General features: G+C 44.3%; 1 protein-coding gene across 4 annotated transcripts in view, besides 1 other annotated feature; it reads right to left on the reverse strand.

Annotated features, from left to right (window-relative positions):
* Positions 1-19108, reverse strand: part of GABBR2 (gamma-aminobutyric acid type B receptor subunit 2) — a 420827-nt gene that overhangs the window by 161028 nt on the left and 240691 nt on the right. For all 4 annotated transcript variants that reach the window (NM_005458.8, XM_017015331.3, XM_005252316.6 and 1 more), the window contains one exon: positions 4845-5081. In NM_005458.8, the coding sequence (NP_005449.5) occupies positions 4845-5081 (237 nt within the window). The remainder of the gene's footprint in view (positions 1-4844; positions 5082-19108) is intronic.
* Positions 11637-11837: a silencer, noted in NCBI's record as "peak7304 fragment used in MPRA reporter construct". NCBI's record gives its function as "represses an SCP1 promoter by STARR-seq MPRAs in K562 erythroleukemia cells {active_cell/tissue: K562}" and the evidence as "EXISTENCE:reporter gene assay evidence [ECO:0000049][PMID:32103011]".

The following is a 19108-nucleotide window of genomic DNA, read 5'->3' on the forward strand; positions in this document are numbered from 1 at the left end:
CCACCACATGCACAGGAGGGTTCCCCACAGGGTGGCTACCTTGCAATTATTGATCCAGCAAGTTAGGATGGCTCCTTGGTCTTTACTCCCCTAAGCGAAACCGTCTTTCCTCCAGAGGCCTTGGGCAGACCTTGGATACTGCCTAGCAATTGTTCCTCTACTTGTCCATTCCCACTGCTATTGAATGAGGGGCTCTTGGGGCCAGGGACCGTATGTTATTCCTCTCTATACTCCATACACCCAGTGCGGGGCTTGCTAGAGGAGTGAATGAATGTAGGAGCAAATCCATTGCTGACAGGTTTAAACCACAAACGTGTGTGTGTGGCCCCAAGCAATTCTCAGGTTGCTATTTAAGAATCTCTCAGACTGCTGTTTAATATGTGAATTCCTGAGCTTTACTGTAAGACCACAGAATCAGAAGTTATGGGGTGGGGCCAGGGAACCTGCATTTTAAATGAAGCGCCCTGGAAGATTCTCATGCCTTTAGAAGGTTAAGAATCATTGCTCTAATGATGAGCTCTGCTGAGCTGGGTTCCAAGCCCTGTCATTTTCAGAAAAGGGGATTCTCAGAATGCTCTGGGCTTTTGAGATTTAAATAGCCAATTCTAGCCTGAGTTTCCTGGTTGCATAATTGACAGAAGAGGGGGATGGAGGAGGGGAAGCATCCTGAGACTTCTAAACCATGGAGGGCCAATCCCAGGGCTGAACATCAGAGAGATGTACGGCACCCCCAAGTCATCAGAGGGCCACAGGGACATGGAATCCCACTTCAGAGTGTTCCCTGAGGAGAGTCACTGGGAGCAGAGCTTCTAAGAAGATAAAACAGAACTTGCCTTGAGTTAAGGTGGATTCCCAACCTAGGATGCATGGAAGACATTTCTTCATCCATATGCCAAGCCGGGACCACTGGCCCAGCTCCCGGCAGAGAGTGTGCATATTGAATCAATTGAAATTGAGTCATGGATATAATTAATTTAATGTGTTTAAACGATTTCCCATATAGTAAACATGCTAAATGAGGGGGCACCCAGACTAAGATGTCTGCCTGAGAGTGGAAAAATGGATACTGTGTGTGCTGTATAATGAAAATCCTTCAGCAAATGGAAAATGCTTCCATTTATTTCCACCTCCCATGTTGTTTTCCTTTCTAACTCTTTATTTATAGCTGAACTTGGCCTTCTGTAGTCTCCTTGGACCACAGAGACACTTTTTATTTTGTCAGAAGATGTCCTTTTTGCTGTGACCAGAAGACAATTTTAACGAAACCTGTCTACAACCCAGTGACAAGCACCTATTAATATGTGACAAAGGAGATAGGAGGAAGGTAACATGGAGTGCAGGACTGTTTCACTGTTGCGGTCTGTCTCCACTAAAGGGGCACTTATGCAAAGAAAAGGGAGATGGTGTTGAGTGGGTGGAGGCAGGGCCTGTCCAGCTACCATTCCAGCTCTGCCAAACCATCTTGCTGCGTGGCTCTGAAGGAGTCATTTTCCTTTTCTGGACCTCAGACACTCATCTACACCACAAAAGCATTGAATTTGAGGATATTTAAGACAACTTTCAGTTCTGATGTTCACTGAGTTCTGAGTCACAAGCTGGAGCAGACAAAAATAGGTGCCAAGGAATTTCCCATTAAAAAGAAACTCATCCTCAAGCCGTGGAGAACATTTCAGGCAGTCTATCTAATTGCTCATCAAGTAAGGATTATGTATTATTTGGCTTAGATGAAAGGGAGCATTTAGAAGTGGTTATAAATGATCTCCAACTAAGATCTATCAGGCACCTAGGCAAAATGCAGAGTTCTAGGATTGTGAAGGGTGGCAAAATGCTTTCTAGATTCTGTAGCTCTCTATTCATCCATTTCAACTTTGGATACTTTGAATTCATTTTGAAACAGCCCTGCCAAAATGCTACCCGTGGGACCCTGGGTGAATCCCACCCCTTTCTGAGTCTCAGTCCATGAACTTGTAGGATGAGGAGAAAGGACTTTGGAGGTATTCTAATGGGTGTTCTGTCCAGCATTTCTGAGGGAGGGATCTCAGGGGCTGCAGGGGTGGGGAGAGGGCTGCAGGAAGAGGGGGCTGAACAGGCAGAGTTCAGGGCTCCTTCTCTGTTCAACTGAGAAGCTCTTCTTTAATCTGTTTTATATACCAGGCTCCATGTGAGATTTTATAACAAGGAGTTCTGAGAATAAAAATAATTCTTTAAGCTACTGGTCTGAGGAAAGCTGTTAAAGTTTCCAGCCTGAATCTAGGCTGTGCTACAGAAATGGACTTCGCCAATACATTGTGGGAGTGAATTTTTCAGAGCCTTTAGTCCAGAATGGCTCTGCTTGGGGATTTTGGAAATCGACTTCATTTGAGCAAACCTCAGTGCCACCCAAGTGCCTCCCCACTGCCCCCCAGCAGTGGTCTCAAACCCTGGTGTGCATTAGAACCACCTGCAGGGTTTGTTAAAACACAGATGGCTGGGCCCCACCCCGAGAGGTTCTGATTTAATGGGCCCATGTGGGGCCTGGGAATGTGCATCTCTAACAAGCTCCCAGATGATGCAGACCACACTTTGGGAATGGTTGGTCTGGAAGATAAAGGCCAGTCTCCTTAGCATGTCCCTCCAGAAATGGACCCCAACTTCCCTTCCCAGCCTCCTTATCCAGCTTGCCAGTGTTCCAGCCCAACTAACTGTCCTTCCCTCCCTCTTGCATTTCTTCCTTGCTCACCATGCTCCCTCTGGCCAGCCCCTGTCTTCATGTCTAACTCCTGCCCACAGTTCAAGGCATGGGTCAAATGCCACCCCTTCCAAAAAACCTACCCTGACTTTTTCACTAAAGGTCACAGAAATCCCTCTGGGCTCGGGCTTGGGCTCAAATAGTTTCTCCCACAGTGCCAAGCACTTTTAACCTCTCATTGTTTTTGTCTAGGTCTTGCCCGTGCATGTGAGCCACAGGCTCTAGGACAGGGAGCCCATCTTACCTTGGCATCCACACCATTATCCACACCTTCGGCACCTGCACAGGTTCCAGCCCACCAGACCAACAATATAAGCCTCAGCACAGGCATGCATGAATATGCATATTCAAGAAATGCCCCAGCCAGCTCAGCTTATCTACCCTTTATTCCTCAAGACAGACTGACTCTATTCTGAATCTGTAAATTAGAACACAGGACAGCACTTTAGCCCACTCAACGTATTCTTCAGATGAATTTTCCATATTTTCTGGAGCAGAGACAGTGACAAATAACTACCACTTTGGTCCATTACCAGAAGGTCACTACCTTCTGCAGCAATTAAGAGCTAGACCAAAGTTCAAATCCCACTTGACCCTGATTAGCTATAGTACTTAAATGCTCTGAGTTCCAGGTTCCTCACTGTTCATGGGAATAATAAGAGCACCTACTTCCTATGGATGGCATAAGGATATGGTGTAATCATTATTAACAGTAACAATAGAATTTATTGAGTGCCTGCTATGTGCCTAGCACTAGGCATACATTATTGAGTCTAACTACATTATGTATTTAGCACAATGTCTAGCACATAATACGCAATCAAGAAGTATTAGCCATATTATCATTGCTTATTTTCCCAACTTCCATGCAAGATTTATATTATTATCCCCATTTCCCGGATGAGAAACTTGAGGCTCAGAGCAAGTAGCTTGCTTAATAAATATTAAAAGGTTGTATTATGTAATGTGTAATCTTTAAAACTAGCTTACAAGGTAAGTATGATTTCCATTGTGTGAATGAAAACTGTAGTTCAAAGAAGGTAACTTGTAAATGAAGGCCCAGGATTTGAACCTGATTTTGGGTCCAGAGCTTCTCCTGGCCCACCCCAGCCCACCATCTGGTAAACTGTGCCTGCACTGTGTGCGCAGTCAACTTTCTATGCCCTTTTTTTTTCTTTTGAGATGGAGTTTTGCTCTTGTGGCCCAGGCTGGAGTGCAATGACGCGATCTCAGCTCACTGCAACCTCTGCTTCCCGGGTTCAAGCGATTCTCCTGCCTCAGCCTCCCGAGTAGCTGGGATTACGGGCATGTGCCACCACGCCCAGCTAATTTTGTATTTTTAGTAGAGACAGGGTTTCACCATGTTGGTCAGGCTGCTCTCGAACTCCTAACCTCAGGTGATCCACCCGCCTCAGCCTCCCAAAGTGTTGGGATTACAGGCGTGAGCCACCATGCCCGGCCTCTATGCCCTTTCTTTCTTTTTCTTTTCTTTTTTTCAGAACAGAAAGAAAACTGTTTTATTACACAATTAAACTTGAATGTGGCATGCATCATAGTCAATCTGCTTAAGAGACTGCAGAGACAGAAAGATGGTCACCAAAATTAGTCCATAAGAGGAAGAATTTACAGCACCATGTCATACATAGTTCATCCTAAATTCACATGGAGATTGAAGAGGCTATCTGTGTGTGCTAATTGTTTATATTCAATGACAAAAAAACTTTTCACATCTTCATAACAGGAGGTAGTTTAGCAGCTTGAAGCCAGGTACTGTGCCAGGGAGCACAGAGCCACTGCTCTAAAATGTAAATAGCCAAAAGGATAGAACGCTTTTCAACCATTTTTGTAGCAGAGTGAAAGCCTACCTTCAGCAAGTACCTGGCTCTATGCCCTTTCTTATCCATGAGTCACAGAGAAGCATTTTCCCAATGTGTCTGAGAGCACACACTGCCCCTGCCCCTTGTCTGAACAGCCCTGCAATCCTAGGGCCTGCAATTAGTTATTTCAATGATCAGAGATAACAGATCACATAACAGAAAGCCTGTAACAGCCCCTCTTTTGCTTTGCATGTTTACAAGGAACACTAAGGAAAACAGCCCAGAGGCATGGGACTGACCGTGACCCCGAAGAAGTTGGTCTCGTTCATGGCATTGAGGATGATCCTGCCCAGCGTGTGGTCCGTGTAGTTGAAGTCCTGGATCCGCTGGTGCCGGCTGCTGGCATGCAGTGTCTCCATGGCCCTCTGCAGTGTCTTGGCGATGACCCAGATGCCATCGTAGGCGTACCCGTGGAACTTGCTGGGCCCCACGCCTGACCGCTTGTTGTTGTACTCTCTCTCATACTGCTGTGGAGTCTGGAAAAACAGGGGATTGGGGGAATCCCAAGTTATACTCGGCAGGGACATCAGGTGCCTGATGCCGAGAAGAGCTGCTATTCTTCAATGCCCACAGGGTGCCAGGTACAGTGCTAGATTCTACGTGCATTATCTCATTTAACCCTCACAACAACCTCATAAGGTGGGTACTGTTATTGTCCCCATTTTACAGACCCCCCATTTTCAGGGGGGTCAACTTGCTTAGTTCCACAAAGCTAGTGAGTGACAAGACTGAGATTTAAACTGTCTTTTGGCAAGACTAGAGAGAGGGGATAATACACCCTAACCAGGCCTTTGCCTCTAAACTTGCAGGGCCTGGGGTGAGGTAGAGGCCCATATCCCGTATGTCTAAATGTTAAAGTTATAGCATATGAACAAACTGTTCAAAAATATTCTCTATCTCCTCATCGTAATAAATACACCTTCCTAGGGATCTGGAAGGCCAAGCTGGAATTCAGAATTCTGGGACTTCTCTGAGTTTCAGCAGCACAGAGGGAGCTGACAGTGTGCTGCTCAGCCCACCCCTCCCCTTCCCTTCCCACCCCTCTCCATCCTGCAGCCCAGCCAGGCTCAGTCCATACCTCCTTCCCCTTCTAGCATCAGTAGCTCCCTGTACCCTCAAAGGCACAGTCTACCCTCAAGAACTGGGGCAAGAGGCTCCCTAGACCCTGGAAGTGGCTCCAGCTTATGGGTTGAGAATTCAGGGCACAGTCTGGAAGCTGGAAGGGGTGCAGGTCTGAGTGGGCTGTGTCCGTGGCTTGCAGATTCTGGGCCCCGAGGGGCCTGAATGAGGACCTCTTAGAGCATGTGACCCAGGGCAAGGCCCAGTTGCTCAGGTGTCAGGCAGCATCCATCCCTCCTGCTATTCCATCTACCTTCCATAATATAACAGTCCGAATAGGCCAGCATTGAAAAAAAGATTTTTTTTTCTCCCATTGAGCTGAATTTCATAAAGGAATTTCATTGGTGATATTAACATTTTGATTGTGGCCACAAAGTAACGAAACTGCCTTTTTACTCCAGACCTTGGAACTTGCACTTCCAGATGAATGCCACCCTGGGGGACCCATTACCCTCAGCTCCTTCATGGGTCTTTTTTCAAATCACTTCTGAACTCCTCTGCCAGAAATGTCATCAGGGCCCACGGCTTGGTCTTTGGAAAAACCCTCCTTGGGGAAAAATCACACACAGGACAATTGACTCTTTGTCAGTTTATACTGAGAAGGGCCCCTTAGGGACAGTCACGGGCATGCAGTCAGTCTATAGCCTGAGGCACAGAGAGGTGCAGAGACATGTCCAAGGTTACACAGCCTGTGTGTGTGTGGTGGAGGGAGGGGGGGCGCGGCACCAGACTACCTTCCCATTTCATCTTGGCTACTTCTTTCCTCTTTGATTTCTAAAGTCATAATTGCTTTTTGAAAACCACCACAAGTTGTTTGGGCCATGTCTAGTGTTTTTAAGGAAGGTGGTGGAGCTGGGCCATCAAAGACTGTGTCTTCCGTGGGTGGAGCCCACCGGGGCCAAGAAGCCAAGTCTCTTGTGGGGTCACCCACACAGATGCCTGGGGATGAGTGCCAAGTGCCCCCGGCTGTGAACCTTGCAGGCAATGAATTCTGCATGACCAAATGTGAATGAATCCTGGCCGGGAGTCTGCCTCCTCCTGTTTCAGGGTCCTCCTGGAAGGCTCAGGTTTGATCTGTTTGCAGCTTTCCTTGGAAATGCATCCTCTCTAGCTACCACCACTCTGCTCATCACTCAAGATACACAGTGGGCAGAAACTCCCCCCAAATCCCAGGTTCCTCAAAGAGACCAGCATTTCTAGTCCAGCTCAGCTCCCTGAGTTCGTCCTGTTACTCACATTCCTCCACCCGCCCACACTCCATGCCCGCTGGCTCTTGAAGCTCATAGTCATCCCCGCCACTTTCACTCCTCCTAGAGAAGGAGGAAACAGTCCACTATGAAGCTCTGTCTCTTTAAACCTTTTGGGTCCCTTGATCACATCAAGTTGGCTTGCACCTCAGGGCTTTGCACAAGCTGTTTCTCTGCCAGAAAGCTCCTTGCCCAGCTCTTGGCATGATAATTCTCAGCATTCAAATGTCAGCACCTGTCACTTCTCAGGGATGGCTTCCTTGACCCACCCGTTGTAAAAGCCCCCAGCCTGAGGCCAGGGGTTTTTATCTTCTTTATTGCACTTGTCACTCCCTGCAATTTTCCTCCTTATGTGTTTACTTGCTTATGGTCTGTGGTTTCACTCCTCCCTTCCCACCCACCTAGAATTAAGCTCCATGAGGTCGGAGATGTGATCTGTCTTGATCACTGAGGTACCACCAGAATCTCAAACAATACCTGCTTAGGCCCTTTTTAGGCCTCAGTTTCTCTGTCTGTAAAACACAGGAGCACACCTATTCACACATTGTAGAGCAAAATCGTTCTTCCCAAATACAAAAAGTTGTAATCCTACTGTGTATGAAAGTAGTCATTTCCCTGCATCCTTGACAATAGGTATTTTCATTTTTAACTCAATTGTCAGTTTGTTAAGAAAAACATATATATCTGTTAAGAAAAAAGTATTCTTTTAATCTTAATTTGCATTTCTTTAATGATTAGAATGAGCTTATTTTAAATATTAACCAGCAATCTTAATTTTTTAGGTGAATTTCCTAATTATGTTAGGTGAATTTCCTATACCATCTTGCTATGGTGATGTCACATCATTTAATGTTTTGTTTTAGTGTCTCCTTGTTATTTTTCCATCTTTTACTACTTGGCTGTATTTTCTTTGATTTTTTAAAATGTGATTTGTGTCTATTTCTGGTTGTTAACTACTGACCATTTTAAAAGGATTTAAACAGTACTTGGATGCGTGTTTCTTTAATTAATTGCGTTAAGCATCACAGAAATGAGGCCCCTTTGACTTCTCTTTTGGATTTTGCTCCTATGAGCTTTCTCCAATGCACGCAATGGCATTCGAGGGTTGGTGGTGTCCATTTTTGAATTCCCTTGTTCGACCTAATGACTACATTCAGATGACATTTCTACAACACCTCCCTGACCAGAACACGACACTGGAGCAGCCTTCAAGGTTTCTATGATCCTTTAAAAGTGGGAGGTCCAGACTTGAGGTGAACATTCCCAGTGTGGTCTCACTGGGTGGTAACTGAGTGTAATTTTAAACTTCCTTGATATAGTTTTGTTTTGTTTTGTGGGACACTAAGGGGATCAAGATCATATTGTCTATTGGATTTGGCCTTGAGGTCAACAAAAGTCCCTATATAAACTTTACATATGCCACTTGTAAACTCATCTATCTCAAAAAACTGTCCTTCCCGGGTACAAGGATCAGGAGGAGGGCCAAGAACACTGGAAACACGGCTCTTTACCAGATTTCTGTGGGTAGAGTCCTTGGAATCAGACACAGGTGTAGCTAAGCCCTGAAAGGTGACCTCAGTTCTTGCTGTCTTTGGAAGCACCAGGTTAAAGAAGTCGTTGCTGCCACATGATATCCCAGGCCATTCATCATTGTTCCCAGGCGATGCCAGCACCAACTCCCTTGGGCAAGACAATGACAGCAGGAAGAAACGCACTCACAATTGTTGGAGAAAAAGTTCTTAAAGCAGGCCTCCAATTATTCAAGGCAGAAGAATTTCTTCCATCGTAAAGCTGACACCGAATGCTGATTAATTACCATCCTCCGAGGTCAAGTTTATCGTGAGATGCTAAAAGTTTCTGAGAAAATAACTTATGCAGATAGTCCCAATTACTGATAGGTTGGCCTCCAGAATATTTTTTAAAGGCATTTGTTGGAACTTGGAACATATTTTCCCACAGACACTATGTTATAAATAGTGGTTAGGTCCCAAGGCTAGCCCACACAAGCTTGCTAACCTACAATGTGACTAAACCTTATGAGTCTGTCATCCCAACAGAAATGAGCTGAGTCCTTCTTCCTGGGAGAGGGGAGCCTCATGGACAGAAGAGAGGGCAGGAGAAGGATACATCCTCTTCCACATCTGCAACTGATCCCCACAGAGGTGAAACTGGCAGACTTTCTCGCTGGCATCCCTGTGGGAGGTTTGAATCACAGAGTCTCATTTGGAAGTACACGAGAGAATATTTAGTTTGCTGGTTCCCGTGCTGCCGTTTGTAAATCACTTGGGAAGCTTGTTAAAAATGCAGATGCCACGGCTGGGCACGGTGTCCCACGCCTATAATCTCAGCACTTTGGGAGGCCGAGGCAGGTGGATCACCTGAAGTCAGGAGTTCAAGACCAGCCTGGCCAACCTGGCAAAACCCCATCTCTACTAAAAATACAAAAAGTTAGCTGCGCGTGGTGGCAGGTGTCTGTAATCCCAGCTACTCAGGAGGCTGAGACACAAGAATCATTTGAACCCAGGAGGCAGAGGTTGCAGTGAGCCGAGATTGCATCATTGCACTCCAGCCTGGGTGACAGAGTGAGACTCCATCTCAAAAACAAAATACAAACAACCAAAAGAACAGATGCCAGGGATACATTTTGGTTCAGTATATCAGTGAGTGAGTTAACTTAGGAATCTGTATTTTTAAAAACCTTCTCAGATTTCAAGCATACAAAAATTGGTAACCACTGATGAAGTCCCTCCTGCGATCTGATTATTGGATAATTATTGGATCTTTTCAGTAGCAACTTCCAGGTGTTTGCTGAGTTTCTTCTTATACTCCTCCAGTATTGGGAAGCTCACTATGCCTCTCAGGCAGAACTTTCCACTTAGGGAATGGCTGATGTTGAGGAGACTGTTCTTCCAGATGCAGAGTTTGCACCTCTCTCCCTGAAACTTGTATTCGCATGCTACGTGTTCCTGCGGAGCCACAATACACACATCTGCTCCCTTTATACACAACAGCCCCTCAAAGAGCCAAAGACAGGGAGATGCCTCCCCTTTTCTAATGCATTCTCCTTCTTTTAAGCAAAATAATCTCAGTTCAGACTTCCACTCTATGATGAAATCGCTTATATCAGACCAAAGCTCCCATCAAGAACATTTAGAAAAGCAGAATAAAATATTAAAATAGCTATTCAAAGACATCAGAAAACAAGCAGGACAGCTAGGACTGAGAATCCATCATTCTGGAGAGAAGATAAATGCTTTGAGATGGGCCCCAAATTCTTTGCTGTTTTCCTTTTGAGGCATTTTCTGATTTGTAAGTAAGAAGGCTAGTCACAGAAACAGAAAGCATTGGATCAGAGTTTTCAGCAGTCCCTCAGGGATAGGAAGCCAAAAACTGTAGTTCTGGACTACCAAGGTAGCAAGACTTGCATGGCCAAGGTGCCAGAGTAAAGGGAACCATAAAAAAGTGAGCCTGGTATTAAGACTGGCATTTTTACTTAAAATATTTGATAATTAAGCTGCATAAAGCAAGAGGCTGAGAAGCCAAGCAAAAGAGCCAAGAAAACAAACAGAACTATTTAGAGTTTAATAGTATTGGGAAAATAAAAATTGGAGTCCAGGGTCAGTAAATATCCCAGGATTTCAGTTGAGAACATTGAAGGGTCAAACACTAGGAATCAGGGCAAACCAAAATAGATTGGGCCTTACAAAAACTGAAACCGAACCTGGAATCATCTCAGTTCTTCACTGGATTAAGGCAATTTGCCACTACTCTAACTACTTGCTTGAAGAGTAATACATTTTCCCTGGAGAAAGAAAACACTATCTGTAGCCTCTACAATTTTTCATACACAACACATTTAATTAAAATGTACTAGGTACACCAGGAAATAGGTCCAGATAATTGTTTTAAAAGAAAAGCAAGGAAGAAAAAGAAGAGAAAAGTATATGGAATGGAAACAAATTCATAGGTGATCCAAATCTTGACATTATTAGACATGAACTTTAAAATAGCAAGGTTGGCGGGAATGGTGGCTCACGCCTGTATTCCCAGCACTTGGGAAGGCTGAGGTGGGCAGATCACCTGAGGTCAGGAGTTCAAGACCAGCCTGGCCAACATGGGAAAAAAATTAGCCAGGCATGGTGGCGGGCACCTGTAATTCCAGCTACTTGGAAGGCTGAGGCAAGAGAATTGCTTGAACCTGGGAGGTGCAGTGAGCCAAGATCACACCGCTGCACTCTGGCCTCGGTGACAGAGCAAGACTCTATCTCTAAAATAAAATAAAATAAAATAGCAAGGTTTGTATGTTCAAGAAAATTGATTAAAAGATGCAGAATGTCATCAGAGAACTGAATACTATAAAAGAAAAAATATAAAAATTCTAAAAATAAAAAATACAACAATTGAAATAAAGAATTCAATAGATAGGTGAAACAACATATTAGACACAGCAGAAAGTAGATTAGTGAACCAAATACAGGTTTGTATTCAGACTGAAACATAGGGAGAAAAAAAGTTTGGAAAATAAGAAATGAACATAAGAGATACATGGAATATGTTGAAAAAGTATAATATATGTATAATTGTGTCCTAGAAGGTGAGAAAAGAGAGACTAGACAGAAGCAATATTTCAAAGGATACTATTCTATTTCTCCAACACACATCAATACACAGATTCATGAAATCCTATGGAGCTCTATGAACTCCAGGCAAGATGAACACAAAGGAAAGTTCACTTCAGCACAGTGTAGTAAAACTGCCAAAGACCAAATCAAAAACAAAATCTTAAAATAACTAGAGGAAAAAAAGATGCATTACTTCAAAAGAGCAATAAGTCAGACAGCAGACTCAATAGAAACAATGGAAGCCAGAAGACAATGGAATGACATCTTCAGTGCCAAAAGAAAATTATAGGCCATCTAAAATCCTCTATCTAGTCAATACATCTCTCAATATTAAAGGTAAAATAAATTTCAGACAGCCAGACACTTGGAAGATTTGCTTCCAGAAGAGTCACAGTAAAAGAAAGACCAAGGAGAAGTTCTTCTGGCAGAAAAATAATAGTAACAATAAGCAGAAAAATAGAAATGTGGGAAGGAAAAAAGTAATAGGAAGTGTAAATGTGTTAGTAGATCTAAATGAAAAATGACATCAGTGCCAAGAAAATCTTAAAGAAGAACAAAGATTAAGGATTTATACTACAAAGTATCAAATCATACTTCAGTAATTAAAACAGGGTGATATTGATTAAAAGATAGATAAGTAGACCAAAGGAAGATAAATGGAAGTTCAGAAGCTTGTGTATATATCCACACTATATGCAGTTGTTTAATTTATGACAAAGGTGACACTGTAGCCTGAGTGGTGGGATGGGGGATTATGGCCTTTTCAATAAATAGTCCTGAATCAATTGATTATTCATAAAATTAAATATATTATTTCAGACCATACATAAAATTAATTTCAAGTAAATTCTATGTCTAAATGTGAAAGATATAACAAAACTTCTAAATGACAAGATAGGAAAATATCTTCACGAGCATGGGTGGGTGTATTAGGCCGTTCTTGCATTGCTATAAAGAAATACCTGAGACTAGATAATTTATAAAGAAAGGAGGCTTAATTGGCTCATGATTCTCCAGGTGCAGAATCAAGAATCGTGGTGCTGGCATCTGCTTCTGGTAAGGGCCTCAGGAAGCTTTCAATCATGGCAGAAGCCAAAGGACAGTAGGTGTGGCACATGGCAAGAATGGAGCAAGAGAGCAAGGGGGAAGGTGTCACACACCTTAAACAGCCAGATCTCACATGAACTCAGCGTGAGAACTCACTTGCTACCAAAGGGATGGTGCTAAACCATTCAGGGGGGATCCACTCCCATGATCCCATCACTTCTCACCAGGCCCTACCTCCAACATTGGGAATTACATTTTGACATGAGATTTGGAGGGGACGAACATCCAAACCAAATCATCAAGACAGGGTGATTTTCAGAAAAAACTAAAATAACAAAACCAAATACTGCTTCTGCCTAGTCTCTCTTTCCTCCCTTTCCAGGACACAGTTATACATATATTATACTTTTTCAACATATCCCATGTGTCTCATATGTTCATTTCTTATTTTCTGACTTTTTTCTCCCCATCCTGAAAATGCTTAAACAAGGCATAAATATACTAATCACAAAGAAGACTAATACATTGGATTACATTAAGATTAGGAATATCTATTCATCAAAATACATCGAGAGTGAAAAGATAAGCCACAGAATAGGAGAAGATATAAATAATACATATAACTGTCAAATAATTCATATCCAGAATCTAAAAAGGAATTCTACAAATCAGTAAGAAACAGGCAGAGTATCCAACAGGAAAAATGGGCAAAAGACTTGAATGGGCAATTCACAAAAAAGGGTATCAAAATGGCCAATGAAGATATGAAAACATGTCCAACTTCATTAGTCATCAGGGAAATGCAAATTTAAACTAAAACAAGACACCAACCACTACACACCCACTAGTTTGGCTAAAATTAAAAAGCTGACACACCAAAAGTTGTTGAGCATGTGAACCAACTGGAACTCTCAATCACTGCTTGCGGATGTGTAAATTGGTATAACCACTTTAGAAAGCTGTTTGTCACAGAGTCTACTAAAGCTGAACATATGGCTACTCTGACTCAGAATTCCACCCCAAGTATGCACCCAATAGTAATGTGCACATATGTTCACCAAAATATATCAAATGCCCAGAATTAAATCAAACAAAATAAGTACAATAATCCTTTTTTCTTCTTTTTAATTGAGATGGAGTCTCACTTTGTTGCTCAGGCTGGAATGCAGTGATGTAATCTTGGCTCACTATAACCTCCGCCTCCTGGGTTCAAGCGATCCTCCTGCCTCAGCCTCCCAAGTAGCTGAGACTACAGGCATGTGCCATCATGCCCGGCTAATTTTTGTATTTTTAATAGAGATGGGGTTTCACTATGTTGGCCAGGCTGGTCTTGAACTCCTGACCTCAAGTGATTCACCTGCGTCAGCCTCCCCAAGTGCTGGGATTACAAGTGTGAGTCACTGCGCCCAGCCAATATGTGCAATAATTCTACACAGAAAACTATAAAACATTTCTGAGAGAAATTAAAGAAGACCTAACTAAATGCAGGGATATACACAATTCATGGATTGGAAGACTTTAATATTAAGATGTCAGTTTTCCCTAAATTGATCTACAGATTCAGTAAAATCCCAATAAAAACCAGAGAAAGTATGTATGTATGTGTGTATAAACTGGCAATCTGTTTTAAAAATGTATATAGAAATGCAAAGAGACAAGAATAGCCAAGACAGTTTTGACGAACTAAGATGGAGAACCTATATGAGTAGTTATCAAGACTTATTATAAAGCTACAAAAATTAAGATGTTTTGGTGAAAAACAATGGAAAAGAAAAAGATAAAGTTTAGAAACAGAGCTCTCCCTCTCCCTCGCCCTCTCGCTCTCCGTCTCGCTCTCGCTCTCGCTCTCCGTCTCGCTCTCGCTCTCCGTCTCCCTCTTTCTACAGTCTCCCTCTCTTGCAGAGCCTGGGCAGTACTGCCGTGATCTCGGCTCGCTGCAACCTCCCTGCCTCGGGCTCCGGTGATTCTCCTGCCTCGGCCTGCCTAGTGCCTGGGATTCCAGGCACTCGCCGCCACTCCTGACTGGTTTTTGTATTTTTGGTGGAGACGGGGTTTCGCTGTGTTGACCGGGCTGGTGTCCAGCTCCTGGCCTCGGGTGATCTGCCCGCCTCGGCCTCCCAAGGTGCTGGGATTGCAGATGGAGTCTCGCTCACTCAACGCTCAATGTTGCCCAAGCTGGAGTGCAGTGGCGTGATCTTGGCTCGCTACAACCTCCACCTCCCAGCCACCTGCCTTGGCCTCCCAAAGTGCTAAGATTACAGCCTCTGCCCGCCCGCCACCCCGTCTAGGAAGTGAGCAGCGTCTCTGCCTGGCAGCCCATCGTCTGGGATGTGAGGAGCCCCTCTGCCCGGCCGCCCCGTCTGGGAGGTGAGGAGCGCCTCTGCCCGGCCGCCATCCCGTCTAGGAATTGAGGAGCATCTCTACCTGGCCACCCATCATCTGGGATGTGAGGAGCGCCTCTGCCTGGCCGCCCCGTCTGGGAAGTGAGGAGCGCCTCTTCCCGGCCGCCCCGTCTGGGAGGAAGTGAGGAGTACCTCAGCCCAGCTGCCCCGAATGGGAAGTGAGGAGCGCCTCTGCCTGGCCGCCCCCTCTGGGAAGTGAGGAGCGCCTCTGCCCTGCTGCCCTGTCTGGGAGGAAGTGAGGAGCGCCTCTGGCCGGCTGCCCCAAATGGGAACTGAGGAGCGCCTCTGCCTGGCCGCCCCCATCTGGGAAGTGAGGAGTGCCTCTGCCCAGCCGCCCCGTCTGGGAGGTGGGGGGCGCCTCTGCCCGGCCGCCCTGTCTGGGAAGTGAGGAGTGCCTCTGCCAAGCCGCCCCGTCTGGGAAGTGTACCCAACAGCTCCGAAGAGACAGCGACCATCGAGAATGGGCCATGATGACGATGGCAGTTTTGTCGAAAAGAAAAGGGGGAAATGTGGGGAAAAGAAAGAGAGATCAGATTGTTACTGTGTCTGTGTAGAAAGAAGTAGACATAGGAGACTCCATTTTGTTCTGTACTAAGAAAAACTCTTCTGCCTTGGGATGCTGTTAATCTATAACCTTACCCCCAACCCCGTGCTCTCTGAAACATGTGCTGTGTCAACTCAGGGTTAAATGGATTAAGGGCGGTGCAAGATGTGCTTTGTTAAACAGATGCTTGAAGGCAGCATGCTCGTTAAGAGTCATCACCACTCCCTAATCTCAAGTACCCGGGGACACAAACAGGGCCGAAGGCCGCAGGGACCTCTGCCTAGGAAAACCAGAGACCTTTGTTCTTGTGTTTATCTGCTGACCTTCTCTCCACTATTACCCTATGACTCTGCCACATCCCCCTCTCTGAGAAACACCCAAGAATGATCAATAAATACTAAAAAAAAAAAAAAAAAAAAAAAAAAGAAAAATTAAAGCATAAAATGCTTATTAAATAAACAATCAATACGTGATGTGAAAAAAAAAGTTTAGAAACAGAACCAAATATATAAAGTCATTTGCTTTATGACAAAAGTAATATGGCGGCACAGTGTGGGAAAAGATGGACTTTTCAATAAATGATGTTGGGTCAATTAGATATCCATGTAAAAAAAGAAAAGAAGAAAAGGAATCTTGATCATTACCTCACATCCTATACAAAATGTATTTCAGGTTAATTATAGATCTAAATGTGAAAGGTAAAACAATAGAGTTTCTAAAACACAAGATAGGAAAATATCTTCATAGCCTTTGAGTGGGTTCTATTAAAGAATTTCTGTTCATTAAAACACACCAGTTAAAGGACTTCCAGGTAGCTGAAGATGAAGGAGGCTGTGTATAAATTAACTTTCCCAAGTCTCCGCAAACTATACTAGCTAGCTTTGTAGCTACAAACATTCTATACAAAATGATACCACATCTATAATGGAAGACAGAGAACATCAAAACTTTACAGATGACTGAATAAGAAGAGAAAAATTAACACATTTCACTTCTGCGTTTGCCTCACCCATGCCCTGATGCAAGGTTTTGTGGTAAAGGCAGAATGAGAAAACTGTGGCAAAGACAGAAGATGGTGTTTATTTAAGAGTGAACTAGAATAACTACCAGAAAGACGAATCTTCCCTGGTATGGTTTGCATTTGTGTTCCTGCCCAAATCCCATGTCAAATTGCAATCCCCAGTGTTGGAGGAGGAGCGGCCTGCTGGGAGGTGACTGGATCATGGGGCAGGTTTTCCCCTTGCTGTTCTCATGCTAGTGAGTGCGTTCTCACAAGATCGGGTTGTTTAAAAGGGTGTAGCACCTCCCCCTTTGCTCTCTTCCTCCTGCTTCCTTCTGCTCCAGACATGCCTGCTTCCGCTTTGCCTTCTGCCATGATTCTAAGTTTCCTGAGGCCTCCCCAGCCATGCTTCCTGTACAGCCTGTGGAACTGTGAGCCAATTAAACCTCTTTTCTTTATAAATTACCCAGTTTCAGGTGTCTCTTTATAACAGTGTGAGAAAGGACTAATACACTCCCTAAATCTGAAGATACTAAAAAAAGCTGTGGAGTTCAAAAGTTCAAAAGCAGGCATCTGAATGGCAAAGGAAGTCAGAAGAATGGTTACATCTGGCAGTGGGTATTAACTGTAACACATAAAGGCAGTTTCTGAATTGCTACAAATAGTTTTTTTCTTGACCTGGGTGGTAGTTACATGGGTGCTCTCCTTCAATAAAAATAATTAATGAAACCATAAAAGGTAATCCCAATCCTTCCATTGCTCCTCATCTCACATGACCTGGGTTATAAACTCTTCATCGATCTCACTACTCCTTCCTCCTACCCCTAAGGTTCCTATCCTGAAAAGGAAGAGAATTAATATTTGTTGAGCACCTACTATGTGTTTGCACTTGGTAAGATACTTTCTACTGTATAACCTCATCTAATCCTTACAAATCTGTGAGAGAGATATTATTATCCCCATTTTACAGATGAGAGACAAACTGGGAAAGGTTAAATGACTTGCACAACATCACTGTATTACTCTTAGGTTCAGCTGCATTGTAACAGAAAAAACAAATTATCAGTGACTTAAATGAGATAGGTTATTTCTTTCTCATATAAAAGATGTCTGTGGGGAGGCTGAGTAATACAGCTATGACAGCTCCCCAGGGTAATAAGGGATCCAGGGTCCTATCTTTATGCTCCACAATCCTAGAATGATGCTTCCTTGTCAAGGTCACCTTGTACCTAATGGTCCAAAATGGCTACTAGAAATCCAGCCATCACATCCACATTCCAGTCAACACAAAAGAGAATGAAAAAGAAAGGCCATATCCCCCTTTAATAGAGCCTTTCTAGAAGTCCCACATAACACTTCTACTTATATCTCATTGGCCAGACTTGCAATCCCGGCCATATCTAGCATGGAAGGCTGGGAAGTGTATAATACATTTTCCAGTGAGGTGGCAACATACCCGGTTAAAAACCAGAGTTGCGTTATGAACTCTGGTTTGTTGTGTTACAGAGCTTAGAAGAGGGGAGGAGAGGTATGGATGTTGGTATAGATGACCAGCCACCTGCCAGAGTCACCCAGTTGGGAAGTGTTGGGGCCATGATTCAAGTCTAGCCAGTGGCCCCTCCATGGGCCAGTCAGCCTTTTCCTTCTGAGCCCATGCCCCTCTGACATAGTGCCTTCTCCCAGTGTCATGAGTGCCTAGGGGAGTAGCAAGGAATGGGAGTAGCAAGGAATGGGAGCTTTGTGGGGGGTAGGGGAGAGAGCAGCGCTGTGAAGCTGGGCTCTCTGGGGAGTTCTATTTTTCCGCAGCACCTTTCCTTCCTCCGTGCTAAGCTCAGTGCTTCCCTAAAACTCCAAGTTCTTTGTCACGGTGCTCACAGCGCAGTGGTAATGAGATGGGTGCAGATTTTCATGGGCCATTGGCTCTAAGTGGAAGGATCACTAGATTTGCTGGGTTGAATAAATAATCATGGGTGGTCACAGAAGTTTCTTGCCAGAAAACATTACAAAGTCTTCCAAAGGATGGACCTGTGCCTTTGATGGAGGGCTAGGGCTACTCCAGAGGTCTCAGGGTGCTATGAACAGCTCATCTGGGGCCTTGGCCCAGCACTGAGCCTCAGCAGGGGCACAATAACAGGAGAAGAATGTCCCTATTGGAGAGGCTGAGCCATCGCTGGAGAAATCAAGCCAGAATTATAAATGCTCACAAAGGAAACAAAACGAACAGGACTTGAAAAATGGAAGCTGACACTTGAAATCACCGATGTCAAGTCACTTTGCGGGAGTAGAACAGTGATGGGGAGCCTCAGTGGAGAGAAGGAGCCAATGTTGGGCCCAAAGCAGGAGTCCAGGGGCTGTCTTCATGAGGTCCCAGAAAATTGAGCTCTGAATGGGCTCAGAAAGCCTGAAGGTCCAAGTCCCAACGCAGGACAGTCCAATGGGAAAGGACTGAAGAACGTGCTTCTGGAGGGAGCCCGTGACCTTGCTATTCCTCCTACCAGAAAACTCCTGGTGCTAATGAGTGA

Source organism: Homo sapiens, chromosome 9, assembly GCF_000001405.40.
Source record: "Homo sapiens chromosome 9, GRCh38.p14 Primary Assembly".
Classification (NCBI taxonomy): Eukaryota; Metazoa; Chordata; class Mammalia; order Primates; family Hominidae; genus Homo; species Homo sapiens.